The sequence below is a fragment of the Homo sapiens genome, chromosome 7, assembly GCF_000001405.40.
Source record: "Homo sapiens chromosome 7, GRCh38.p14 Primary Assembly".
Classification (NCBI taxonomy): domain Eukaryota; kingdom Metazoa; phylum Chordata; class Mammalia; order Primates; family Hominidae; genus Homo; species Homo sapiens.
In genome coordinates, this window is record NC_000007.14 from 74,369,100 (window position 1) to 74,395,835 (window position 26,736).

A 26,736-nucleotide genomic window follows, 5' to 3' on the forward strand; every position below is an offset into this window, starting at 1 on the left:
CAGCACTTTGGGAGGCCAAGGCAGGTGGATCACTTGAGGTCAGGAGATTCAGACCAGCCTGGCCAACATGGTGAAACCCTGTCTCTACTAAAAATACAAAAATTAGCTGGGCATGGTGGTGGGCACCAGTAATCCCAGCTACTCAGGAGGCTGAGGCAGGAGAAGCGCTTGAGCCAGGGAGGCGGAGGTTGCAGTGAAACAAGATCACACCACTGCACTCCAGCCTGGGCAACAGAGTGAGACTCTGTCTCAAAAATAAAGTAGAAACAAAGAAACAAAATAAATAAAATAAAAAATCCACCAGGCATGGTAGCACGCCTGTAGTCCCAGCTACTTGGGGGGCTGAGGCAGGAGGATCCTTTGAGTCCAGGAGGTTGAGGCTACAGTGAGCTATGATGGCGCCACTGCACTCCAGCCTGGGTGACAGAGCAAGACCCCATCTCTAAAAATAAATAAATAAAAATTTTTAAAATATGGCTGGGTGCGGTGGCTCACACCTGTAATCCCAGCACTTTGGGAAGCCAAGGCCAGCGGATCATTCGAGGTCAGGAGCTCCAAACCAGCCTGGCTAACATGGTGAAACCCCATCTCTACTAAAAATACAAAAATTAGCTGGGCATAGTGGTGCTTGCCTGTAATTCCAGCTACTCGGAAGGCTGAGGCAGGAGAATCGCTTGAACCCAGGAGGCAGAGGTTGCTGAGCCAGGCTCCCTCCACTGCACTCCAGCCTGAGTAACAGAGCGAGACTCTGCCTCAAAAAAAAAAAAAAAAAAAAAAAATCCAGGCACGGTGGCTCATGCCTGTAATCCCAGCACTTTGGGAGGCCAAGGTGGGCGGATCACGAGGTCAGGAGCTCCAAACCAGCCTGGCTAACATGGCGAAACCCCATCTCTACTAAAAATACAAAAATTAGCTGGGCATAGTGGTGCTTGCCTGTAATTCCAGCTACTCGGAAGGCTGAGGCAGGAGAATCGCTTGAACCCAGGAGGCAGAGGTTGCTGAGCCAGGCTCCCTCCACTGCACTCCAGCCTGAGTAACAGAGCGAGACTCTGCCTCAAAAAAAAAAAAAAAAAAAATCCAGGCACGGTGGCTCATGCCTGTAATCCCAGCACTTTGGGAGGCCGAGGTGGGCGGATCACGAGGTCAGGGGATCGAAACCATCCTGGCTACCATGGTGAAACCCTGTCTCTACTAAAAATACAAAAAATTAGCCGGGCGTGGTGGCGGGCGCCTGCAGTCCCAGCTACTCGGGAGGCTGAGGCAGGAGAATGGTGTGAACCAAGGAAGCAGAGGTTGCAGTGAGCCAAGATCGCGCCACTGCACTCCAGCCTGGGCAACAGAGCGAGACTCCGTCTCAAAAAAAAAAAAAAAACTAATTTAAAAATAAAAATGTAAATCAGATCCTGCCCCTTTCCTGCTCACACATCTAGCACTGAGACACTAGATATCATCTAGGCTCTGTAGAGTGGGCCAGAGAAGACCCCCAGGGCCCAACCCTCCCCCCCACCACCACCCCCCTGCCTTGTCCCAGCCCTGTCTCACACCCCTGCCCCTAAGTTATCATACACCAGGCTTTTCTCTTTCTGGAACACCACAAGCTGTGTCCTGCCTCTGAGCTTTTGTACACGCTAGTTCCCCGGCCTGAAACACTTGCGCCTCTTCCTCTTGTGCCTGCCTTGTACAAGGAGTCCTTCTTATCCTTCAGAACTCACTGTAAATTACATGTTTCCTCTATTTCACGTTCATTCCAGTTACTCTCTCCCCAGTGCTCTGTTCATAGTGCAAATCACAGTCTGGAATGATCTTCACTATTCTTTTATGGTTTGCATCTGCCTCCCCACCCCCCAGAATATAAACCCGTTGAGGGGCCAGGCGTGGTGGCTCACACATGTAATCCCAGCACTTTGGGAGGCTGAGGTGGGCAGATCACCTGAGGTCAGAGGTTCAAGACCAGCAAACATGGTGAAACCCCGTCTCTACTCAAAAATACAAAAGTTAGCTGGGCATGATGGTAGGCACCTGTAATCCCAGTTACTCGGGAGGCTGAGGCTGGAGAATTGCTTGAACCTGGGAGGTGGAGGTTGCAGTGAGCCGAGATCGCGCCACTGCGCTCCAGCCTGGGTGAAAGAGGGAAACTATGCCTCAAAAAAAAAAAAAAAAAAAAAAAGGTTGAGGGGAGGAGTCCTTTGGAGTGGGACCGAATGAAGTTGCCCTTGAAATTGCGAAGCTGGAGGCTTTTTCTTGCCTGTGCGGGCTACCAGTTCAGTGTGTAGGATCATGCACCATCTATGAGGGTTCCAGACAGGGCTGTTGTGCCCACCGACGGGGATAGGGGTGGCTGGGATGGAGCTTGTGATTTTCTGGAAGAGACATGCTGACTTCTTGTTGGCACTGGAACACACTGCCAGGAGGGAGGCGGGGGAGGGAGGGAGAGGAGAGAAAGAGAGAGGGAGGGACACAAAGAGGGGAGACAGGAAGGGAGAGAGGGGAAAAGAGAAGGAGAGAAGGAGGGAGGGAGGGAAACAGGGAGGGGAATGGAGAGAGAGAGGGAGGGAGAGAGGGAAAAAGAAAGGAGGGAGAGAGACGGGGGGGAGAAAGAAGAGAGAGAAAGTGGGAAGGAGAGGGGAGAGAGAAAGGGAAGGACAAAGAGGGAGAGGGAGGAGAAGGAGAGAGGAGGGGAGAGAGAGAACTTTTTTTGTTGTTCCTTAAGGAAAATTCAAGAAATAAAATAGGCCAAAGGACATAATCATCTCAATGTCTCTTAATGAATTGCAGGAGTATTTCTAATCAGGTGATGTCCGTTTACACCTTCACCAATAGACAAGCTTCCGGGGTTTTATTACAGGTTTCACACCTAGAGGCTGTTTTGCTAAGCCCCGCCCCTTCAGAACTGCCCTGCAGCTGCTTTAACCCCTTCTCTCCTGGAGTATAAAGAGGACCCTCTGGCTTCTCCCTAAGATGAACTTGGGTCTCCAAACTGCTCCCAATGTCCTCACCCTCCCAGCTTCCCTTCCAAGATCTGTTCTGTGAAATGCAAAAGCCAGTCTTGACACCCTGAGAATGCTGGCCTTTGTCAGCAGATGAAGCAGATATTGTCGAGCTGGGACAAAAGTGCCCTTGTGATTTGTGGAGACCAGGCGTCCTCTGTGGGGTCCGGTGGGGTGGGCAGCAATGGGGCCCGGGAGTGGGAGGCACAGCCCGGCCTCCACCAAGGAGGCTGGGGCCAAGAGGATCGTGAGGGGTCGGGTATATTTTGGAAACATCTTGCGTGTTATGGGTTCTTGCACTTTTAGCACAGGCCTTGGGGGGGGGGGGGAGTCGAGCGGGAATCCCGGGGTCCTTTATTTATTCCTCATCCTGTGGGTCTCCTGTGTGGAGGATGCTTTGCCTACAACCAGTGACAGCCTGCAGGGGAACGGGAACAGGATGGGCCCCTCCCCAGGAGCAGATCCTTGATGAGGACCTTCAAGGTCAAGGGCTGCTGGTTGGGGGTTGGGGGGGACAGAAAAGCGAGGTGCCCATTGCTACCCCAAGCAGGGGCCAGCGAGGGAGGATGGCTTGCAGGCCCCCACCCCCCACCGCCCTACACTGACCCAGCCGGGACACAGCAAGGGGTGGGCATGAGGCCCCACACCCCTCGCCTCCCCAGACTTCCTCTCTTTCGCTGAGCAATTCTGGCTCATGAATCTACTCTCCTCGCCTTGTTCACGGAAGATGACGCCTCCTCTCTCTCTCTCTCTCTTTCTCTCTCTCTCCGGCTTCTTCTTCCCTGTGCCCCCCTCCCTGCGTCCCCGCCCCCACCCCCCCACCGTGTCCACCCTGGGTGGACCAGACCCAGACGCAGCTGGAGCACGCGCGCATTGGGGAGCTGGAACAGAGCCTGCTACTGGAGAAGGCGCAGGCCGAGCGGCTGCTCCGAGAATTAGCGGACAACAGGGTAACCGCGCCACCGCACCCGCCTGGCCCGCCAGCCACCTTGCCCTTTGATGCCCCCTCTGGCTTCTCTGTTTCATTATTGACTCTCTTTCTTTAGCTGCTATCATCTTTTTTATTTTTATTTTTTATTTTTGCATCCCCTTGGAGGAGGGAAGTCAAGATTTAGAAATGTGCTTATGTGGCCGGGTGCGGTGGCTCACGCCTGTAATCCCAGCACTTTGGGAGGCTAAGGAGGGTGGATCGCCTGAGGTCAGGAGTTCGAGACCAGCCTGGCCAACATGGTGAAACCCCATCTCTACTAAAAATATAAAAATTAGCTGGGCGTGGTGGCTCATGCCTGTGATCCCAGCTACTTGGGAGGCTGAGGCAGGAGAATCGCTTGAACCTGGGAGGTGGAGGTTGCAGTGAGCTGAGATCGTGCCACTGCACTCCAGCCTGGGTGACAGAGTGAGACTCCGCCTCAAAAACAAAACAAAAAGAAATGTGCTTATGTTCCCTGGCTCAGTGTTGCTTATTGGGGTGGAGTTGGGGGTGGGGGTGGTCTTTGTTTTTTGGGACTTGGCTCCCCAGCTTATTGCCCCAGCAGCTGAGAACGTCCTGTGAGACCCCCCAGTCTCCCCGATGCATTGCCATGACAAAGTGTTGGAGTTCCTGGGAATGTCCTGTCTCTATGTAGGCAGACCTAGAAACCACTGATCCATGTCTCCTGTCTCCCCAGCTGAGGAGGCTGGGGAGAGGAAGGAGGTCAGGAACTGCAGATCTCTTCCCGGTTTCTCTGGCCCAGAGAGCCTGAAACATGGGTGCAGGAGGGGGCTGGGCTGAAGGACCTGGGGCTGAGGAAGGGGTGGGGCTTTTGAGGGAGTGGAGGTGTCCCCAGGGAATGGTGTTATAATGGGTCCTGGAGCCATGGAACAGCTCTGCTTGTGGGTGAGGCTTCCAGACTCCTAGGGCATGGTTCTGAGTCCCTGCTCCAGGCCCCACAGTCCCCTCCAGGCTTACCATGCACGCCTGGGACCCAGCACTCTGTGCAGGCACTCACATGCGAACAGCCAGCCGGCCCCCCAGCAGTCCCTCTGAGAGCAAGCAAAAACAGGCAGCAAGTGATGACTGGAAAAGCACCCCATAAACAGTATGTAGATGTAGAAGGAGCAGTGGTCAGTTTCTGCATGTTGGTCTCCGTGCACAAGTGGCTGTGTGCATGTGTGCAGGTGTCCAGAGACACACAGGGTCCATTTGCACACACTGGCCATTGCTCAGTGACCATGTGCTTGTACGGTACACACTCATGTGCATGAAGACTGAACGCACAAACTGACCCAGTCACGGCGGACCGGCCGGAGCCCTCCAAATGCATCTTGATCTAGGGTTCAACCTGATGAAAACACAAAAACAGGGCTGGGTGTGGTGGCTCACACCTGTAATCCCAGCACTTTGGGAGGCCAAGGTTGGTGAATCATCTGAGGTCATCTGAGGTCAGGAGTTCAAGACCAGACTGGCCAACATGGTGAAACCCTGTCTCTATTAAAAATACAAAAATTAACTGAGCGGGGTGGTGCACGCCTGTAGTCCCAGCTACTTGGGAGGCTGAGACAGGAGAATCATTTGAACCGGGGAGGTGGAGGTTGCAGTGAGCCGAGATGGTGCCACTACACTCCAGCCTGGGCAAGAGAGTGAGACTCCATCTCGAAAAAAACAAAAACCAAAAAACAAAACAATAAGTTTATTGAACTAAAGGATACCTTCAGAAACAAAATGTTTAAAGCTTGTAATAGATTTAAAGCTTGAAAATATATCATTTTCATATCTATGACCATCAACGTGATCAAGGTGGTTTTTTGGAGAATGGAGCCTCTAAGAGTTTTTTGTTGAAAGATGGGTCTGGGAGCACCCTCTTCTGCTTTAAGCATTAAACTGGACCCTTCTTGGCCACTGCCTCCAGCCAGCCCCTTGGGCTGGATATCCTTCCTAAGGCAGGATAATGCAAAATTCACTGTGGCCTCTGTTCTTTAAAAAGAATGTTAACAAAAAAAAAATTTCTTAATAAAAATACAAAGAACTTTAACTCAGTTGGGCATGGTGGCTCATGCCCATAGAGTCCCAGCTGCTTTTGAGGCTGAGGCAGGAAGATTGCTTGAGCCCAGGAATTTGAGGGTACAGTGAGCTATTATTGCACGGCTGCACTCCAGCCTGGGCAACATAGCTAGACCCCCGTCTCTTTTAAAAAAAAAAAAAATGCTGGGCGGTGGCTCATGCCTATAATCCCAACACTTTGGGACGCCAGGGCGGGTGGATCACTTGAGGCTAGGAGTTCGAGACCAGCCTAGGCAAAAGAGTGACACCCCATCTTTACTAAAAAAACACAAAAATTCCCCAGGCGCATGGTGGTGCATGCCTGTAGTCCCAGCTACTCGGGAGGCTGAGGCAGGAGAATCGCTTGAACCTGGGAAGTAGAGGTTGCAGTGAGGTGAGATCACGCCACTGCATTCCAGCCTGCGTGACAGAGCGAGACTCAAAAAAAAAAAAAAAAAAAAAAAAAAAGCTGTAACCTCAAATAGGTGGTTTCTTTTAACCACCAATTTGTCCAAGCCACCTAGGTAGAGGAGTGGCGACAGTTGGCTCTGAATCTTTGGGGTACAGCCAGGGAAGTCTTTCTGGATACTGTGATGGGCCAGGCCTCTACATCCAGCCAGCACTCAGGAGGGAGTGAGCGCCTTTCCCTTCCCATGACCTCCACCTGCTGGGGCTGGTGCCCTCGAATGGACGCCCCCTACCCGGCCCCCACCATTGTGCCCTCCTTACCTTCCAGCCAGCCAGCCAGCCCGCTGATCCCTGTCTCCCTCTCTCCCCACAGCTGACCACAGTGGCCGAGAAGTCGCGCGTGCTGCAGCTGGAGGAGGAGCTCACCCTGCGCCGAGGTGAAATCGAGGAGCTCCAGCAGTGCCTGTTGCACTCGGGTCCCCCACCTCCGGACCACCCAGACGCCGCCGAGATCCTGCGGCTACGGGAGCGGCTGCTCTCGGCCAGCAAGGAACACCAGAGGGAGAGTGGGGTGCTGCGGGATAAATACGAGAAGGCCCTGAAGGCCTACCAGGCGGAGGTGGACAAGCTCCGCGCGGCCAACGAGAAGTACGCACAGGAGGTGGCGGGCCTGAAGGACAAGGTTCAGCAGGCCACCAGCGAGAACATGGGGCTAATGGACAACTGGAAATCCAAGCTGGACTCGCTGGCCTCGGACCACCAGAAGTCCCTGGAGGACCTCAAAGCCACCCTGAACTCGGGCCCAGGCGCCCAGCAGAAGGAGATCGGCGAGCTGAAGGCAGTGATGGAGGGCATCAAGATGGAGCACCAGCTGGAGCTGGGTAACTTGCAGGCCAAGCATGACCTGGAGACCGCCATGCACGTGAAGGAGAAGGAGGCCCTGCGAGAGAAGCTGCAGGAGGCCCAGGAGGAGCTGGCTGGGCTGCAGCGGCACTGGCGGGCCCAGCTGGAGGTGCAAGCCAGCCAGCACCGGCTGGAGCTGCAGGAGGCCCAGGACCAGCGCCGGGATGCCGAGCTGCGTGTGCACGAGCTGGAAAAACTGGACGTGGAGTACCGGGGCCAGGCGCAGGCTATCGAGTTCCTCAAGGAGCAGATCTCGCTGGCCGAGAAGAAGATGTTGGACTACGAGCGGCTGCAGCGGGCAGAAGCCCAGGGCAAACAGGAGGTCGAGAGTTTGCGGGAGAAGCTCCTGGTGGCTGAGAACAGACTCCAGGCGGTCGAGGCCCTGTGCTCCTCCCAGCACACCCACGTAGGCGCCTGCCCCTCCTGCTGGGGCGGGAGGGTCGGGCTGGGGAGGGCTTGGCCTTTTGCTGACCTCTGTTCTGCAGCCCAGGAAGCATTTCCCTTGTCCCCGAGAGCATGCCTGGGGCAGTCAAGGAAGGGGTCACCTGGCTTAGAGGAGGAGGAGCTCCTTGGCCCTCTGTTAGAGGGGCAGTGCGCCCTGGTGACCAGGGAGAACCGAAGCTGGTCTGAGCTGACCTGGCTGCATCCCCCCGCACAGAGCAGACCTGGAGAGATGGGACCTCCGTGCAGAGGACGGGCTTTGATTTACCCATACATGTCTTAGGGTGCAGGGCTCCTAGGACCCGGGACCTCAGACCCTGTGCCCTGGGGCTGGCACAGACCTGAAGGCAAGCTCTGCCTATCCCCCTGGGGGCACCCATCTCCAACTTAGAAGCTCACCTGGGGAATCAGCGGCAGCCCCCTTTCTGCCAGTCCTAATGAGACTTTAGCAACGGTGCCAACGAGTACTTCCCCAGAATGTGGGAGTTCCCGGAGTGGGGTCTGGAAGGCTAGAGGGGGTGGCCCTAAAGAGGTCGCTGTCACCAATGTCAATTTTGCTCCAAATCTAGAAATTCCTTAAGCATCTACCCCTTCTTCCTTCAGCTGAACCCATCCTCCCAGCCCCTCTGAGGAGGTCAACACCCAGGTGGGCTGTGCCCACTCCACCAGGGCCAGGAAGGGCCTTTTGAGTGGCTCTGGGTACCACGTCTTATGCCAGGCCCTATGTGACTCCATTTCACCTTAACATCCTTAGATTGATACTGGCTCCATTTCACAGGTGAGCAAACCAAGACTTTCCCAGGTCCACAGCCTCTCAGTGGCAGAGATGTTCAACCCCATTCCCTGTGGGGCTGACAGAGAGTGCCCAAGACAACAGGAATTAATTCATAGGAGGGATGGCTAGCAACGGACTCTTGCCTGTATACAAATTGTACTCAGAGATTCTTGAGTTTCCAGTTCCCCCACATACATTTTTTTTTTTTTTGAGATGGAGTTTTGCTCTTGTTGCCCAGGCTGGAGTGCAGTGGTGGGATCTCGGCTCACTGCAACCTCCGCCTCCCAGGTTCAAGCAATTCTCCTGTATCAGCCTCCCAAGTAGCTGCAATTACAGGCATGCACCACCACGCCCAGCTAATTCTTATATTTTTAGTAGAGGTGGGGTTTCGCCAGGTAGTCCAGGCTGGTCTCAAACTCCTGACTTCAGGTGATCTGCCCGCCTCGGCCTCCCAAAGTGCTGGGATTACAGGCGTGAGGCACCATCCCTGGCCTTTTTTTTGGTTTTGTTTTTGAGACAGGGTCTTGTTCTGTCTCCCAGGCTGGAGTGCAGTGGCATGATCATGGCTCACTACAGTCTCAACCTCCCAGGCTTGAGCGAGCCTCCCACTTCAGCCTTCCAAGTCGCCAGGACCACAGGTGTGCCCCACCACACCTGGCTAATTTTTATAGTTTTTGTAGAGATGGGGTTTCCTCATGTTGCCCAGGCTGGTCTCAAACTCCTGGGCTCAAGCTGTCTGCCCGCCTTTGCCTCCCAAAGTGCTGGGATTACAGGGAGTAGGTACTGCACCTGACCACCCTCATGTATATTCAAACCAGAATTTAGGGGTGGGTGTGGTGGCTCACACCTATAATTCCAGCATTTCGAGAGGCTGAGGCAGGAGGATTGCTTCAGGCCAGGAGTTTGAGACCAGCCTGGACAACATAGTTAGACCCCATCTCTACAAAAATAAAAAATTAGCCGAGTACAGTGGTAGTGTACCTGTAGTCCCCAGCTACGCTGGAGGCTGAGGCAAGAGGATCACTTGAGCCCAGGTGTTTGAGGCTGCAGTGAGCTATGATTGCACCACTGCACTCCAGCCTGAGTGACAGTGTGAGGCTGTGACTCAAGAAAATACACAAACCAAAAAAACCCGAGAATTTAGCATGTGGGCAGTAAGTTCTCAGGACTAATGAATCCAGGGGGCTTTTTTTGTCTAAAAGGAAATCTTTTTGCATCATGCCTTGAGGTCCCTTGTAATGGCCTTCCTGCCCCTTCTCCCAGGAAGGGATTTTGTTTTTTAGCAAGTGCTCTTCCAGGATCCTGGGCTGAAAGAAAAGGAAGAAACCCAAATTAGCTTACGTGCACATGGCCTGATTAGCTGTTCAGGGCAGGCAGAAACAGCCTGCAACTCAGGAACTGAATTCCCTGAGCGGGGAGGTTTGAGGTTGCTGTGGTTCCACAGAGCATGGGGGACAGAGGCCTGAGGATGCCTCCCCCAGTCCCTGCCCCTCATTCACAGGTGCCCTTGGACCAAGAAGTAGTAGTGGCCCCAGAAAGCCCATCTCCTGGCCGGGCGCGGTGGCTCACACCTGTAATCCCAGCTACTCAGGAGGCTGAGGCACAAGGATTACTTGAACCCGGGACGTGGAGGTTGCAGTGAGCCAAGATCGTGCCACTGCACTCCGGCCTGGGCAACAGAGGGAGACTCCGTCTGGAAAAAAAAAAAAAAGCCCATCTCTTGATTTTCTGTATACACTGGGGCTTAGTCTAAACGCATATGTCCCCATGTTCAGAGGTTTAGGCCTAAGCACAACTGGACTTTTGGTCTCAGGTAGTAAATATGGGAATTTTAAAAATTATTTTAGTGGCCAGGTGCTGTGGCTCACACCTGTAATCCCAGCACTTTGGGATGCCAAGGCAGGTGGATCACCTGAGGTCAGGAGTTTGAGACCAGCCTGGCCAACATGGTGAAAACCCGTCTCTACTAAAAATACAAAAAATTAGCCGGGCATGGTGGCGGGCGCCTGTAGTCCCAGCTACTCGGGAGGCTGAGGCAGGAGAATCGCTTCAGAGTCCTGGAGGCAGAGGTTGCAGTGAGCCGAGATCACGCCACTGCACTCCAGCCTGGGCGACGGAGTGAGACTCCATCTCAAAAAATAATAATAAAAAAACCCCAAAATTAGCTGGGCGTGGTGGTGGGCACCTGTAATCCCAGCTACTCGCTCGGGAGGCCGAGGCAGGAGAATCGCTTGAACCCGGGAGGTGGAGGTTGCAGTGAGCTGAGATTGAGCCATTGCACTCTAGCCTGGATATCAGGGCGAGACTCCTTCTCAAAAAAAAAGAAAAAGAAAAATTTAGTGTGAGCCTCATTACTGCATCGTATATAAATTATGATCCAAGGGGCTTAGTTCATTACAACTAATTGAGACTCAAATGGGACTTGGGATGTATGAACAGAAGTATGAGGGGCAGGATGATAGAGGTGACTGCCTACTCAGCTCTGTGCTTCCCTGATCTGCAGTGCCAGACTCTGGCTGGCTCGGAGGACAGCCAGCCTGGGCAGGAGACTGGAAACTCCTGCCAAGAGTGGCAGGGAGCCTATTGGTTGTGTTTTGACTTTTGTCATAGTGATGTGTGCCAGGCTGATTTTTTTTTTTAATAGGTCTTTTCTTCTTTGGCCTCTGGGTTTATTATTAAAAAGAAATGTTGGAGAGAAAGAAGCTAGCATTTAATGAAGTCCCTCCAGGAGGTGGCCCCAAGCACGCTGTGCACACACTAACCCAAAGCAGCCAATATTTGTTTGATGGATGGGAAACTGAGGCCAGAAGTCTTGTCTCTGGGAGACAGAGAAACAAATTCCCAGGACAAATTTCTGTAGGCATTGCAGGGAAGGAGCCATCTGTTTAATATAATAAACATTTTCAACAAAGGAAGGGTAGGAGGTATTCATGTATAAGCTGCACAGGCGGCCTTCAGCAGAGCTGGGTGCAGAATGGGGGTCCTCTGTTGTCAGGGAGGTCCGACTGAGGACGTCTGCACTCCCTGCCACCGCAGCAAGTCCCTGAGTCCGTCACTGAGGTCCCCCTTTGTAGGAGTAGGGTGTGCAAACTGCAGGTGTGCTTGCTGGGCTGGCTGGGGCTGGGGCCAAGGGGCAGAGGTGAGCATCCCCCTTACAGGGGCTCTTTTTGCAGATGATTGAGTCGAATGACATTTCAGAGGAGACGATCAGGACGAAGGAAACTGTGGAGGGTGAGTGGCCACCAGGCCGGGCGGGACTCTGGGCTCTGGGAAGAGGCTGGCTGGCTCTGCCTTCCTGCTGGGTCACATTTTGGTTTGCATCATCTGCCATTTGGTAAGAGTCACCTCCTGTGTGCTGTGAGCTATGTACTCCTGCAAGGGAGGAGGCCAGTTTACGGAGGGATAGGCATTGCACCAGCCTTCCAAGTTGCTGTCTTTTTTTTCTTTTTCTTTTGAAACAGATTTAACGGAATAGTAAACTTAATGGAATATCAAACCTTATTATTTGTTTGGTTTATATTTTATTTTTATTTATTTATTTAGTTTATACTTTACTTTTATTTATTTATTTATTTTAGACGGAGTTTCGCTCTGTCGCCAGGCTGGAGTACAGTGGTGTGATCTCAGCTCACTGCAACCTCCAACTCCCTGGTTCAAGCGATTCTCCTGCCTCAGCCTCCCGAGTAGCTGGGATTACAGGCATGCACCACCATGCCCAGCTAATTTTTGTATTTTTAGTAGAGACGGGGTTTCACCATGTTGACCAGGGTGGTCTCGATCTCCTGACTGCGTGATCCGCCCGCCTTGGCCTCCCGAAGTGTTGGGATTACAGGCATGAGCCACCGTGCCTAGCTGGTTTAAACTTTAAAAACAGGTCTAAACTTCAAATGGTTCAAAGGGCATATGGCAAACTAACTCTTCACTGTTCTCTATTCTTCCCTCCCTGAAGGCGCAGTGTTAGCTTCTTTATATCCCCTTTCCAGAAATATTTTGTGCAGGTACGAGCAAGCAAGTGACACAAATGGTACCATATCTTCCATTCTTTCAGCTCCTTCATTTATTCCATTTAACAATGTATCTTGGAGAGGGTTCCTTATCAGTAGTACATTCTTTTACAGGGTACAGAATATTCCATTGTGTGGAGGTACCATTGTGTATTTAGCTGGTTTCCGATAACAATCACAGATTGTTTCCAGTCTTGGTCAGTTACAAAGATGGTAGACTGTTTCCAGTCTTGGTCAATTACAAACACCACTGTAGAAAATTACCTTGACTTCCATTGGGCTCAACCAATTTTAATTCCCACCAGCTGTGGTTGAAAACCTGTTTCCCCTCAAACTCCCATCAACAAAACGTTTGATCAGACTTTGTGATCTTTGCCAATCTGAAAGGTAAAAGGTGTAACTTCAACTCACCTTTCTCTTATGTGGATGAAGTTAAGAGGTATTTCTATTTGCATTTTTTTTTTGAGACGGAGTTTCACCCTTGTTGCCCAGGCTGGAGTGCAATGATGCGATCTCAGTTCACTGCAACCTCCGCCTCCCAGGTTCAAGCAATTCTCCTGCCTCAGCCTCCTGAGTAGCTGGGATTACAGGCATGCACCACCACGCCTGGCTAATTTTTGTATTTTTTTTTTTAGTAGAGACGGGGTTTCTCCATGTTGGGGCTGGTCTTTTTTTTTTTTTTTTTTAAGACAGAGTCTCACTCTGTTGCCCAGGCTGGAGTGCAGTGGCACGATCTCAGCTCACCACAACCTCCACCTCCCAGGTTCAAGCAATTCTCCTGCCTCAGCCTCCTGAGTAGCTGGGACTACACGTGCATGCCACCATGCCCTGCTAATTTTTTTTTTTTTTTTTTTTTTAGTAGAGATGGAGTTTCACTATGTTGGCCAGGCTGGTCTCAAACTCCTGACCTCATGATCCTCCCGCCTTGGTCTCCCAAAGTGCTGGGATTACAGGCATGAGCCACCATGCCCGGCTTCTATTTGCATTTCTATTTGTGTCTTTTGACCATTTTTTTCTGATTGGGTTATTGATCTTTTTGCTGATTTTTAGAAGCTCTTTATGTATGACATTGCAGACATTTTCCCCACTTTGTCATTTGCCTTTTTACTTTTTTCTTATGGTGGTGTTGGCCATGCAGATATTTAAAAAATCAGGCCAGGTATGGTGGCTCACACTTGTAATCCCAGCACTTTGGGAGGCTGAGTTAGGAGTATTGCTTGAGCCCAGGAGTTCAAGACCAGCCTGGGCAACATAGTGAGACCCTGTCTCTACAAAAAATACCCCCCTCCAAAAATTAGCCAGGTATGGTGGCATGCAGCTATAGTCCCAGATACTTGGGAAGGTGAGGCGGGAGGATCTCTTGAGCCCAGGAAGTGGAGGCTGCAGTGAGCTACGATCATGCCACTGCACTCCAGCCTGAGCAATAGAGTGAGACCCTGTCACCAAAAAAAAAAAAAAAAAAAAATCAATTCTTTTTTAGTTTAAAAAATGTATCCAGTGGTTTCTTCTGGTACTTTTCTGTCCTATTTTCTATGCTGAAATCTCTGATCCATCTAGAATTCATCCTTATATAAGTGTGAGATAAGGATCCATTTTTATTTTTTCCCAAAGGAATACCCACTTATCCCAACACTATTTTTGAAAATGGTCATTTTCTCCCCCCAACCCTCATTGATTGGAATTACTAACCTTATTGTCCTTAAATTCACTTATGTAATTGACTCTATTTCTGGACTTTTGTTCTATTCCAATGACTTGTTATTCTCTTCATGTGCCAATTCTATAATGTTTTAATTAGTCAAGCTTTGTCTATGTTGTAATTTCTGGCATGGCTTGTTCTTCTCTGCTTTATCAAAATTCTCTTGGCTATTGTTTAAAAACTAAGCTGAAATTAACATAAAATAGACATGTGCAGGTTTGTTATAAAATTAACAAATGAAAAAAATTAACATAACATACAATCAGCCATTTTAAAGCAAACACTTCAATGGCATTTAGCGCAGTCAACAATGTAGTACACCCAGCACTTCTATCTGGTTTCCAAAACATTCTCATGGGCTGGATTTGGTGGCTTACACCTGTAATTCCAGCACTTTGGGAGGCCCGGGCAGGAGAATTGCTTGAAGTCAGGAGTTCAAGACCAGCCTGGACAACATGGCGAAAACCCATCTCTACAAAAGAAAAGAAAAAGAAATAAAGAGAAAACAAACATTCTCATCATCCCAAAAGGAGAACCCATACCCACTAGCAGTGCTTCTCCATCCTCCTCTCCCCCCAGCCCATCACAACCACTAATTTACTTTCTATCTCTGTGGATTTATCTATTTGGAACATTTCATGTCAGGAGTTCGAGACCAGCCTGGTCAAAATGGTGAAACCCAGTCTCTACTAAAAATACAAAAATTAGCTGGGCGTGGTGGTGTGCGCCTGGAATCCCAGCTACGCAGGAAGATGAGGCAGAGAGAATCACTTGAACCTGGGAGGCAGAGGTTGCAGTGAGCCAAGATCGCGCCACTGCACTCCTGCCTGGGTGACAGAGTGAGACTCCATCTCAAACAACAACAACGACAACAAAACAAAACAAAAAAGAACCTCATTCTTTTTTGTGGCCAAATGATATTCCATTGTATGGACATACCGCATTTTGTTGATCCATTCCTCAGCTGATGGGCATTTGGGTTGTTTCTACCTTTTGGCTATTGTGAATGATGCTGCTAAGAACATAGATATGCATGTACTTGTTAAGTACCTGTTTTCAGTGCTTTGGGGTATATACCTAGAAGAGTAGAATGCTAGGTCATATGATTTTTTTTTTTTTTTTTTTTTTGAGATGGAGTCTCACTCTGTCACCCAGGCTGGAGTGCAGTGGTGCAATCTTGGCTCACTGCAACCTCCGCCTCCCAGGTTCAAGCGATTCTCCTGCCTCAGTCTCCTGAGTAGTTGGGATTAAAGGTGTGCGCCATCACGCCTGGCTAATTTTTGTATTTTTAGTAGAGACAGGGTTTCGCAATGTTGGCCAGACTGGTCTTGAACTCCTGGCCTCAATCGATGCACCTGCCTCGGCCTCCTGAAGTGCTGGGATAACAGGCGTGAGCCACCGCGCCTGGCCTCATATGGTAATTCTGTTTAAATTTTTGAGGAACTGCCAAACTCTTGGGTATTCTTGCTCATTTTTATAAGTGACTTAGAATCGGCACATCTAGTTCCACCAAAATTTTAAATCAGGCTGGGCGCAGTGGCTCACACTGTAATCCCAGGACTTTAAGAGGCTGAGGCAGGAGGATCACTTGAGCCTAGGAGTTCAACACCAGCCTGGGAAACATAGTGAGACCTTGTCTCTTCAAAAAATAAACAATTAGGCTAGGCGCGGTGGCTCATGCCTATAATCCCAACACTTTGGGAGGCCGAGGTGGGTGGATCACTTGAGGTCAAAAGTTCATGTCCAGCCTGGCGGACATGGTGAAACCCTGTCTCTATTAAAAATACAAAAAAAAAAAAAAAAAAAAAAGTTAGCCGGGTGTGGTGATGCATGCCTGTAATCGCAGCTACTCAGGAGGCTGAGGCAAGAGAATTTCTTGAACCTGGGAGGTGGAGGTTGCAGTGAGCTGAGATGGCGCCACTGCACTCCAGCCTGGGTGACAGAGCGAGACTCTGTCTCCAAAAATATAAAAAATAAAAAATTAGCCAGATGTGGTGGCACATGCCTGTGGTCTCAGCTACTCGGGAGGCTGAGGAAGGAGGATGACTTGAACCCAGGGGGTCGAGGCTGCAGTGAGCTATGATTGCACACTCCACTCCAGCCTGAGCAACACAATGATAACCTGTCTCAAAAAAAAAAAAAAAAAAGGTTAAAATCGTGTTGGTATTTTTAGTGGTATTACATTCCCTTTATAAATTAACTTGCAGAAGGTGGAGATGTTTCTGGGTACTTGGCATCCATTCTGTCCTTTATGGCTGTGAGGAGCACCCAGGCTTGAATACACAAGACCGGTGACCTAGGCACTGTTAGCACTGTTAGCACTGTTATTGTTCTCCCTGTTTTTCACTTGAGGGGACTAAGGCTGTGACAGGTTACCTAAGACCACATAGTGTCGGGTCTTCTTTTTTTTTTTTTTTTTTTTTTGAGACAGAGTTTCGCTCTTGTTGCCCAGGCTGGAGTGCGATGGTGCGATCTCTGCTCACCGCAACCTCTGCCTCCCAAGTTCAAGCGATTCTCCTGCCTCAACCTCCCAAGTAGCTGGAATTACAGGCATGCACCACCACGCCCAGCTAATTTTGTATTTTTAGTAGAGATGGGGTTTCTCCATGTTGGTCAGGCTGGTCTCGAACTCCCGACCTCAGGTGATCCACCTGCCTTGGCCTCCCAAAATGCTGGGATTATAGGCATGAGCCACCTCGCCCAGCCTCTTTTTTTTTTTTTTTTCTTTTTGAGACCGAGTCTCGCTGTGTCGCCCAGGCTGGAGTGCAATGGCGCTATCTTGGCTTACTGCTGCCTCTGCCTCCCGGGTTCAAACGATTCTCCTGCCTCAGCCTCCCGAGTAGCTGGGATTACAGGCACCTGCCACTATGCCCAGCTAATTTTTGTATTTTTAGTAGAGACTCGGTTTCACCATGTTTGTCTTGAACCCCCTGACCTCAGGTGATCCGCCGGCCTCGGCCTCCCAAAGTGCTGGGATTACAGGCATGAGCCACCACGCCCGGCCAGTGTCAGGTCCTCTTCTTCAGGAGGGGTTACCCAGCGAGACGGCTGGAGTGAGGAAGAACTTGGACCCTGGAGGCCAAGTGTGACCCCGTCACAGAGCTCCTGTGGGAGGGCCATGGCCCTACCCACTGCTGCTTTGGTCCAGGAGCATTGATGCTTCTCGTCTCTCCTCTCTCCCCTAGGCCTGCAGGACAAGCTGAACAAGAGGGACAAAGAGGTGACAGCCTTGACCTCCCAGACCGAGATGCTCAGGGCCCAAGTAAGTGGTAAGTCTCCCTCCCGCAGGGCAGATGCGGGGGGCTTTCACTGGGGCCGTGCCATTCAGCTGCCAATTAAGCATGGAGTGGGTCAGGGCCTGGCTTAGGGTCCCCTCCCCGACTCTGCTTTGAGAAGAAAAGGGCTGGCTGGTCGCGGTGGCTCGCGCCTGTAATCCCAGCACTTTGGGAGTCCGAGGCAGGCGGATCACCTGAGGTCAGGAGTTCGAGACCAGCCTGGCCAACATGGTGAAACCTCGTCTCTACTAAAAATACAAAAATTAGCCGGGCATGGTGGCATGCACCTGTAATCCCAGCTACTCGGGAGGCTGAGGCAGGAGAATCGCTTGAACCTGGAAGGCAGAGCTGCCAGTGAGCCGAGATGGCGCCACTGCACTCCAGCCTGGGTGACAGAGCGAGACTCCATCTCAAAAAAAAAAAAAAAAAAAAGGGCCAGGGCCAGGTCACCTGCACCAGACAGACATGTACCTGGGGAGCAGTGAGTGGCCCACATGTGGTCCATCCTATAATGCCTCCCCGCCAGCTTCTGTCCCCAGAGCCAGCTCTGTGTTCTCTGTGTCCTGAAATTCTATCCATTCTATCCCAGGTTCCCTCTTTCTGGTCCTGAAGACTTTCTGGTTTCTCTCTCTCTCTCTCTTTTTGCTTTTGTTTTTGAGACAGGGTTGCACTCTGTCACCTAGGCTGGAGTGCAGTGGTGCAATCTCAGCTCACTGAAACCTCCACTTCCCGGGTTCAAGCGATTCTCCTGCCTCAGCTTCCTGAGTAGCTGGGATTACAGGCGCACACCACCACACCCGGCTAATTTTTGTATTTTTTTAGTAGAGATGGGGTTTCGCCATGTTGGCCAGGCTGGTCTCCAACTCCTGAGCTCAGGTGATCCACCTGCCTTGGCCTCCCAAAGTGCTGTGATTACAGGTGTGAGCCACCACGCCCGGCCCCTGGCCCTGCTTCTTGTTCACCAGAACACCAGTGGTGGTGGGCATGAGACAGCCCCCCTCCTCGGAAATGGTTGCCAACCTGTCTTCTGTCCATCCCCCAGTACAAGGCAGAATTGGCCCCAAAAAAGGTCAGTGGACCTCAGACTCCTCCAAGGCCAAGGTGAAGGTGAAGCTTTTCCTAATCCAGGCGACAGTGTAAACACACGTGTGATATCGCTCCCCACACCAGGAGCCCAAGCAGCTGCTGTGCTTGGCGAGGATTGATCTGTTTATTGTACCTGTTCTCTCAGGCCCCTTGCCACCTGGCTTGTAGGGACAACTGAGACCAATGGTGCTTTTAAAATTATGCAGTGGAGGCCGTGAGCGATGCTCATGCCTATAATCTCAGCACTTTGGGAGGCCGAGGAGGGAGGTTTGCTTGAGGCCAGGGGTTCGAGACCAGCCTATGAAACATTGTGAGGCCTCATTTCTATGAAACATACAAAAATTTGGCCGGGGCTGGGCATGGTGGCTCATGCCTGTAATCCCAGCAGTTTGGGAGGCCGAAGCGGGTAGATCACCTGAGGTCAGGAGTTTCAGACCAGCCTGGCCAACATGATGAAATCCCGTCTCTACTAAAAATACAAAAAAATTAGCTGAGCGTGGTAGCGTGCACCTGTAGTCCCAGCTACTCAGGAGGTTGAGGCAGGAGAGTCACTTGAACCCGGGAGGTAGAGGTTGCAATAAGTCGAGATTGTGCCATGGCACTCCAGCCTGGCAGCGGAGTGAGACTCTATCACACACACACACACAAAAACAATTAGCCAGGCATGGTGGTGGGCACCTGTAATCTCAGCTACTTGGGAGGTTGAGGCAGGAGAATTGCTGCAACCTGGGAGGCGGAGGTTGCAGTGAGCTGAGAACATGCCATTGCACTCCTGGGCCGACAATAGCAAGACTCCGTCTCAAAAAAAAAAAAAAATTTGGCCGGGCACCGCGGCTCACATCTGTATCCCAGCACTTTTGAAGCCAAGTTGGGTGGATTGTTTGAGGTCAGGAGTTCGAGATCAGTCTGGCCAACATGGTGAACCCCATCTCTACTAAATATACAGAAATTAGCCAGGTGTGGTGGCACATGCCTGTAGTCCCAGCTACTTGGGAGGTTGAGGCAGAAGAATTGCTTGAACCCAGGAAGCGGAGGTTGTAGTGAGCCAAGATCGTACCACTGCACTCTAGCCTGGGTGACAGAGTGAGACTTTGTCTCCAAAAAAAAAAAACCGCCAGGTATGATGGTGCACTCCTGTAGTCCCAGCTACTCAGGAGGCTGAGGCAGGAGGATTGCTTGAGCTCAGGAGTTGGAGGCTGCAATGAGCTATAATTGTGCCACTGTACTCCAGTCTGGGTGACAGAGCCAGACCCAATCTCTAAAAAAACCGTCAAAACTATGCAGTGGGGTATGTCACCTTCATCCCCTGGGAGAATCAGCGCCCTGCCCAGGTCTTTGCCCTTGGGTGGGACAGAAGCTCACGTGTTCCCAATCCTCTTCCTCCCTTCCCTGCCGGCTGACCCCAGCGCTGGAGAGCAAGTGTAAGTCAGGCGAGAAGAAGGTGGACGCCCTCCTGAAGGAGAAGCGGCGCCTGGAGGCAGAGCTGGAGACCGTGTCCCGGAAGACCCATGACGCCTCGGGCCAGCTAGTCCTCATCAGCCAGGAGCTGCTGCGGAAGGAGCGGTGAGGCGGCCGTGGGGCCGGCTGGGTCCTCCCTGTGGCCCTGGCCCTTGCTCCTCTTCTTGACATTAGCTCATGTTATCTTGGGGCAGAGAGGGGGATAGAGCTGGTGGGCCAGGTGGCCGATCTCGAGCGATCACCCTGCTCTCCTCTAAGCTCCGATAAAGTCTCCAAAGCCTCTACACTGTTTTCCAAGCAGAGCTTATAGAAAAGAGTAGGGCCAGGCACAGTGGCTCATGCCTGTAATCCCAGCACTTTGGGAGGCTGAGGCAGGAGGATTGAGCCCAGGAGTTCAAGACCAGCCTGGGCAACATAGTGAGACCCCTATCTCTAAAAAAAAAAAAAAAAAAAAAAAAATTAGGCTGGGTGCAGTGGCTCACACCTGTAATCCCAGCACCTTGGGAGGCCGAGGCAGCCGGATCACCTGAGGTCAGGGGTTCAAGACTATCCTGGCCAAAATGGTGAAACCCTGTTTCTACTAAAAATACAGAAATTAGCTGGGTGTAGTGGTGTGTGCCTGTAGTCCCAGCTACTCAGGAGGCTGGGGCATGAGAATTCCTTGAACCCGAGAGGAGGAGGCTGCAGTGAGCTGAGATCATGCCACTGCACTCCAACCTGGGTGACCAGAGCAAGACTCCATCTCAAAAAAATAATAATAATAAAGTTTTTTTTTTTTCTTTTAATTAGCCAAGCCTGGTGGTATGCACCAGTAGTCCTAGCTACTTGGGAGGCTGAGGCAGGATGATCTCTTGAGCCCAGGAGTTCGAGGCTGCAGTCAGCTATGGCATACCACTGCACTCCAGCCGGGGCAATAGAGCAAAACCCTGTCTCTTTAAAAAAAAAAAAGAAAGAAAGAAAGAAAGAAAAGAGAGAGAGAGAGAAAGAAAGAAAGAAAAAGAAAGAAAGAAGAAAGAAAGAAAGAAAGAAAGAAAGAAAGAAAGAAAGAAAGAAAGAAAGAAAGAAAGAAAGGATTAATGCCTCCCCAAAATGTTTGGTCTCAGGGACCCCTTTAAACTCCTAAAAATTATTGAGGATCCCCAAAGAGCTTTTGTTTGTTTATTCTATATTTACCATATTAGAATTAAGACTGAAAAAGTGTAAGATACGAATCCATCTTAAAATAAGAAGCCAGGCCAGGCGTGGTGGCTCACACTTGTAATCCCAGCACTTTAGAAGGCTGAGGCAGGAGGATCACTTGAGCCAAGGACTTTGAGACCAGCCTGGGCAACATGGCAAAACCCCTCTCTACCAAAAACACAAAATTTAGCTGGGCATAGTAGCATACATCTGTAATCCCAGCTACTCAGGAGGCTGAGGTGGGAGGATCACCTTAGGTGGCAAGTCGAGGCTGCAGTGAGCCAAGGTCTTGCTACTGCACTGCAGCCTGGGCGGTGGCAGTAAGACCCTGTCTCAAAAAATAAAATTAATAAGCCAATTGCATGTAACATAAGTAGCATGCTTTTGATAAAAAGTAACTATTTTCTGGCGGGGTGGGGGGGGTGGGTGGGGGACTGGGCGGGGTGGCTTCTGCCTGTAATCCCAGCACTTTGGGAGGTCGAGGTGGGCAGATCACCTGAGGTCGTGAGTTCAAGACCAGCCTGTCCAACATGGCGAAACCCTGTCTCTACTAAAAATACAAAACATTAGCCAGGCGTGTTGGCAGGCACCTGTAATCCCAGCTACTCGGGAGGCTGAGGCAGGAGAATCTCTTGAACCCGGAAGGCGGAGGTTGCAGTGAGCCGAGATTGCGCCACTACACACCAGCCTGGGCAACAAGAGCGAAACTCCATCAAAAAAAAAAGTAACTATTTTCCAAAACAAAAAATATTTACTGGGAAGAGTGGCATTATTTCAAATTTTTGCAAAATCCTTGAATATTGGGGCTTAATAGGAGAAACTAGATTCTGGCATCTTTTTCCATGTTCCATCTTTGCAATTTGCTCTTTTGGTTGAACTATGTTCTAAAAATCTGATCTTACATAGATATGTAGTTAGAAAACAAAGGAGTATTTGAATGTCCTTTTCAAATCATGGTTAGTATTTCTACTAGCCCCAGAAAAAACCTATTGTATTCTGAAGAGAAGTAATGAAAATAGTTTTGTTATTATTACAAAAATAGTTTTGAGCCATAGATCCCTTGAAAAGGTTTTAAGGGACCCACTGGGATTTCCTCAGAACACACTTTAGCATCCAATGAGCTAGATTCAGTCGATAGACATGGTTTGTGTGGTCCCTCTGAGCCTTTAAGAAATTAGACTAACAATTAAAAATCAGAAGATGGGGCCAGGCGCAGTGCTTCACCCCTGTAATACCAGCACTCTGGGAGGCCAAGGCAGGCAGATCACTTGAGCTCAGGAGCTTGAGACCAGCCTGGTCAACATGGCGAAACCCCGTCTCTACTAAAAATACAAAAATTAGCCAGGCATGGTGGCACACACCTGTAGTCCCAGCTACTCAGGAGGCTGAGGCAGGAGAGTCACTTGAACCCGGGAGGCAGAGGTTGCAGTGAGTCGAGATTGTGCCACTGCACTCCAGCCTGGGCAATAGAGTGAGACTCTGTCTCAAAGAAGAAGAAGAAAAAAAAAGGTTAATTAATTAAAGAAAATAAAAATCAAATGTTACAGAAAAGCCAGATTTCTCCACATTCCCTTAAAAAATGGGAAGATCTGGCATGGCATGGTGGCTCACACCTGAAATCCCAGCACTTTGGGAGGCGGAGACTGGAGGATCACTTGAGCTCAGGAGTTCAAGACCAGCCTGGGCAACACAGCAAGACCCCATCTCTACAAAAAAATAGAAAAATAGCTGGGCGTGGCTGGGCGCAGTGGCTCACGCCTGTAATCCCAGCACTTTGGGAGGCCGAGGCAGGCAGATCACGAGGTCAGGAGATCGAGACCATCCTGCCTAACACGATGAAACCCTGTCTCTACTAAAAATACAAAAAATTAGCCAGGCTTGGTGGTGGGCACCTGTAGTCCCAGCTACTGGGGAGGCTGAGGCAGGAGAATGGCGTGAACCTAGGAGGCGGAGCTTGGAGTGAGCCAAGATCACGCCGCTGCACTCCAGCCTGGGCGACAGAGTGAGACTCCATCTCAAAAAAAAAAAAAAGAAAAGGAAAGAAAAGAAAATAGCTGGGCGTGGAGCACACGCCTGTGGGTCCCAGCTACTCAGGAGGCTGCGGTAGTAGGATTACTTGGGCCCAGGAAGTGGAGACTCAGTAAGCCATGATCATACCACAGCCTGGGCGACAGAGCAAGACCCTGTCTCAAAAAACAATAAGTAAAAGGCTGAGTGTGGTGGCTGCTCACGCCTGTAATCCCAGCACTTTGGGAGGCCGAGGCAGGTAGATCACCTGAGGTCAGGAGTTCGAGACCAGCCTGGCCAAGATGATGAAACCCCATATCTACTAAAAATACAAAAATTATCCAGGTATGGTGAAGCACGCCTGTAATCCCAGCTACTTCAGGCAGGAGAATCACTTGAACTAGGAGGTGGAGGTTGCAGTGAGCCAAGATCGTGCCATTGCACTCCAGCCTGGGCAACAAGAGTGAAACTCTGTCTCAAAAATAATAATAGTAATAAACACAATTTTAAAAAATAACAAATGGCAAGACCTAACAACACAGGACAGACTTCCAGCATGGCGATCACCCCATCATAGCTGGGGAGCCCCTGCCCCCTTCTGATGGGCGTGGGCCCCCTGAGTCTCCTGGGGAGGCCCCACTTTCCCTTCATTATTTTTCTTACTCCCAATTCCCCAGCCCCTGTAAGCATTTGCTTTTTTTTTTTTTTTTTTTGAGACGGAGTCTTACTCTGTTGCCCAGGCTGCAGTACAGTGGCGCGATCTCAGGTCACTGCAACCTCCACCTTCTGGGTTCAAGCGATTCTCCTGCCTCAGCCTCCCGAGTAGCTGGGATTACAGGCGCCCATCACCATGCCCAGCTAATTTTTAGTAGGGACAGGGTTTCACTGTGTTGGCCAGGCTGGTCTCCAACTCCTAACCTCAAGTGATCTGCCTGCCTCTGCCTCCCAAAGTGCTGGGAGTACAGGCATGAGCCACCGCACTGGGCCCAGCATTTGCATTTCTTTTTTTTTTTGAGATGGAGTTTTGCTCTTGTTGTCCAGGCTGGAGTGCAGTGGCACAATCTCTGCTCACTGCAACCTCCACCTCCTAGGTTCAAGTGATTCTCCTGCCTCAGCCTTATGAGTAGCTGGGATTACAGGCATGTGCCACCATGCCCGGCTAATTTTGTATTTTTAGTAGAGATGGGGTTTCTCCATGTTGGTCATGCTGGTCTCGAACTCCCGACCTCAGGTGATCCACCCGCCTCAGCCTCCCAAAGTGCTGGGAATACAGGTGTGAGCCACTCTGCCGGGCCCAGCATTTGCATTTCAACCCAAGTTAAAGGAATCTCTTTGAAGCACAGACATCCTTTTGTAAAAGAAGAAATGCTACCTCCTTTCCTTCTATACAGATTAAGAGTTGCTCTAGCTACATTTGCTACAAATCTAACACCTTTCTAGAAACTGTAGCCCTGCCCAGGAAGGAAACAGATGCGATGAGGCAATCTAGGAATTTTCCAGAACAACACTGCCCTCTGCAGATGCAGCCTGTGTTTTTCCAGTAGGAACAAACCAGCCAGGACCCTGGCCAGGGTTCCAGGGCTGCCCTCCCTCCCCTGTCTCCCATCCTAAGTGGAAAAGTTATTATTGGTGCCCTGCCTGGTCTCACTTTCTCCGAGGAAGCTTTCCGCCCTATCTCAGCCGCAGGATGCCCCTCCGCTGAGTCTCGATAGAACTTCCTGGAGTTTTGGGTCTTTATCCATTGTCTCTGAATTTTCCCTGTCATCTGAAGCCACATTTCCTCTTTCCCAGAGGGCCTCATCCCCGTCTCCCTGCTGTCAACAGCTGTCAACAGCCTCCTTCCATCCTTCAGCTCTCATCAGTTATGAGATTCCTCCCTTCTGGGATACCTTCTTTTTCTTCTTATTTTTTTTTTTTTTTTTTTTTTGAGATGGAGTTTTGCTCTTGTTGCCCAGGCTGGAGTGCAGTGGCACAATCTCTGCTCACCGCAACCTCTGCCTCCTGGGTTCAAGCAATTCTCCTGCCCCAGCTTCCCAAGTAGCTGGGATTACAGGCATGCGCCACCATGCCGGGCTAATTTTGTATTTTTAGTATAGATAGGGTTTCTCCATGTTGGTCAGGCTGGTCTCAAACTCCCGACCTCAGGTGATCCACCTGCCTCGGCCTCCCAAAGTGCTGGGAGCACAGGCGTGGGCCACCGCCCCGGGCCCAGCATTTGCATTTCAACCCGAGTTAAAGGAATCTCTTTGAAGCACAGACATCCTTTTGTAAAAGAAGAAATGCCATCTCCTTTCCTTCTATACAGATTAGGAGTTGCTCTAGCTACATTTGCTACAAATCTAACACCTTTCTAGAAACTGTAGCCCTGCCCAGGAGGGAAACAGATGCGATGAGGCAATCTAGGAATTTTCCAGAACAACACTGCCCTCTGCAGATGCAGCCTGTGCCTTTTCCAGTAGGAACAAACCAGCCAGGCCCCTGGCCAGGGTTCCAGGGCTGCCCTCCCTCCCCTGTCTCCCATCCTAAGTGGAAAAGTTATTCTTGGTGCCCTGCCTGGTCTCACCTTCTCCGAGGAAGCTTTCTGCCCTGTCTCAGCCACAGGATGCCCCTCTGCTGAGTCTCGATAGAACTTTCTGGAGTTTTGGGTCTTTATCCATTGTCTCTGAATTTTCCCTGTCATCTGAAGCCACATTTCCTCTTTCCCAGAGCCTGGCCTCATCCCCGTCTCCCTGCTGTCAACAGCTGTCAACAGCCTCCTTCCATCCTTCAGTTCTCATCAGTTATGAGATTCCTCCCTTCTAGGATACCTTCTTTTTCTTCTTCTTTTTTTTTTTTCTGAGACGGAGTTTTGCTCTGTGACCCAGGCTGGAGTGCAGTGGCGCAATCTTGGCTCACCGCAACCTCTGCCTCCTGGGTTCAAGCAATTCTCCTGCCCCAGCCTCTCAAGTAGCTGGGATTACAGGCATGCACTACCACGCCCAGCTAATTTTGTATTTTTAGTAGAGATGGGGTTTCACCATGTTGACAGGCTGGTCTTGACTCATGACCTCAAGTAATCTGCCCGCCTTGGCCTCCCAAAGTGCTGGGATTACAGGCATGTGCTACCACACCCAGCTAATTTTTGTATTTTGAGTAGAGATAGGGTTTTGCTATGTTGGCCAGGCTGGTCTCAAACTCCTGACCTCAGGTGATCTGTCCTCCTCAGCCTCCCAAAGTGCTGGGATTACAGGCATAAGCCACCATGCCTGGCCAGAGATACCTTCTTTTTGGCCAGTTTGCTAAGTCCAGTTCATTCTTCAGGGCTTAGCACATTGTCACCTCTTCCTTGAAGCCTTTCTTGATTGATACAGGCCACCGTGGGCTCCTCCACACTCCTGCAGTGCTTAGGATGGAGGTGGGAGATCAGCTAGGAATGCTTTGGTGACAGTGATGTCACATCCATCAAACAGCAGATTAAAGTAGCAGAGATTTCCTTTTCTTACATAACAAGAAATC

The 26,736-nt window shown here is 50.6% G+C and overlaps 1 protein-coding gene across 3 annotated transcripts in view, besides 4 other annotated features; it reads left to right on the forward strand.

The window, feature by feature from the left end:
• The window catches only part of CLIP2 (CAP-Gly domain containing linker protein 2), a 116,529-nt gene that overhangs the window by 79,693 nt on the left and 10,100 nt on the right, over window positions 1-26,736 (forward strand). The window contains exons 9-13 of one of the 3 annotated variants that reach the window (NM_003388.5): window positions 3,833-3,937; window positions 6,788-7,723; window positions 11,707-11,764; window positions 17,422-17,505; window positions 20,004-20,160. In NM_003388.5, the coding sequence (NP_003379.4) occupies window positions 3,833-3,937; window positions 6,788-7,723; window positions 11,707-11,764; window positions 17,422-17,505; window positions 20,004-20,160 (1,340 nt within the window). Of the gene's footprint in view, window positions 1-3,832; window positions 3,938-6,787; window positions 7,724-11,706; window positions 11,765-17,421; window positions 17,506-20,003; window positions 20,161-26,736 lie in introns of those variants that run through there. The other 2 variants (XM_047420800.1, NM_032421.3) reach the window with 2 other exon arrangements.
• Window positions 3,054-4,052: an enhancer, noted in NCBI's record as "H3K27ac-H3K4me1 hESC enhancer chr7:73786483-73787481 (GRCh37/hg19 assembly coordinates)". NCBI's record gives its function as "activates a minimal SCP1, AML or CMV promoter by ChIP-STARR-seq in naive H9 embryonic stem cells {active_cell/tissue: H9 hESC(naive)}" and the evidence as "EXISTENCE:reporter gene assay evidence [ECO:0000049][PMID:30033119]".
• Window positions 11,201-11,701: an enhancer, noted in NCBI's record as "H3K4me1 hESC enhancer chr7:73794630-73795130 (GRCh37/hg19 assembly coordinates)". NCBI's record gives its function as "activates a minimal SCP1, AML or CMV promoter by ChIP-STARR-seq in primed H9 embryonic stem cells {active_cell/tissue: H9 hESC(primed)}" and the evidence as "EXISTENCE:reporter gene assay evidence [ECO:0000049][PMID:30033119]".
• Window positions 11,702-12,202: an enhancer, noted in NCBI's record as "H3K4me1 hESC enhancer chr7:73795131-73795631 (GRCh37/hg19 assembly coordinates)". NCBI's record gives its function as "activates a minimal SCP1, AML or CMV promoter by ChIP-STARR-seq in primed H9 embryonic stem cells {active_cell/tissue: H9 hESC(primed)}" and the evidence as "EXISTENCE:reporter gene assay evidence [ECO:0000049][PMID:30033119]".
• Window positions 15,760-16,054: a silencer, noted in NCBI's record as "tiled region #11240; HepG2 Repressive DNase matched - State 9:DNaseU, and K562 Repressive non-DNase unmatched - State 22:ReprW". NCBI's record gives its function as "represses a minimal TATA promoter and a strong SV40 promoter by Sharpr-MPRA in HepG2 and K562 cells {active_cell/tissue: HepG2 | K562}" and the evidence as "EXISTENCE:reporter gene assay evidence [ECO:0000049][PMID:27701403]".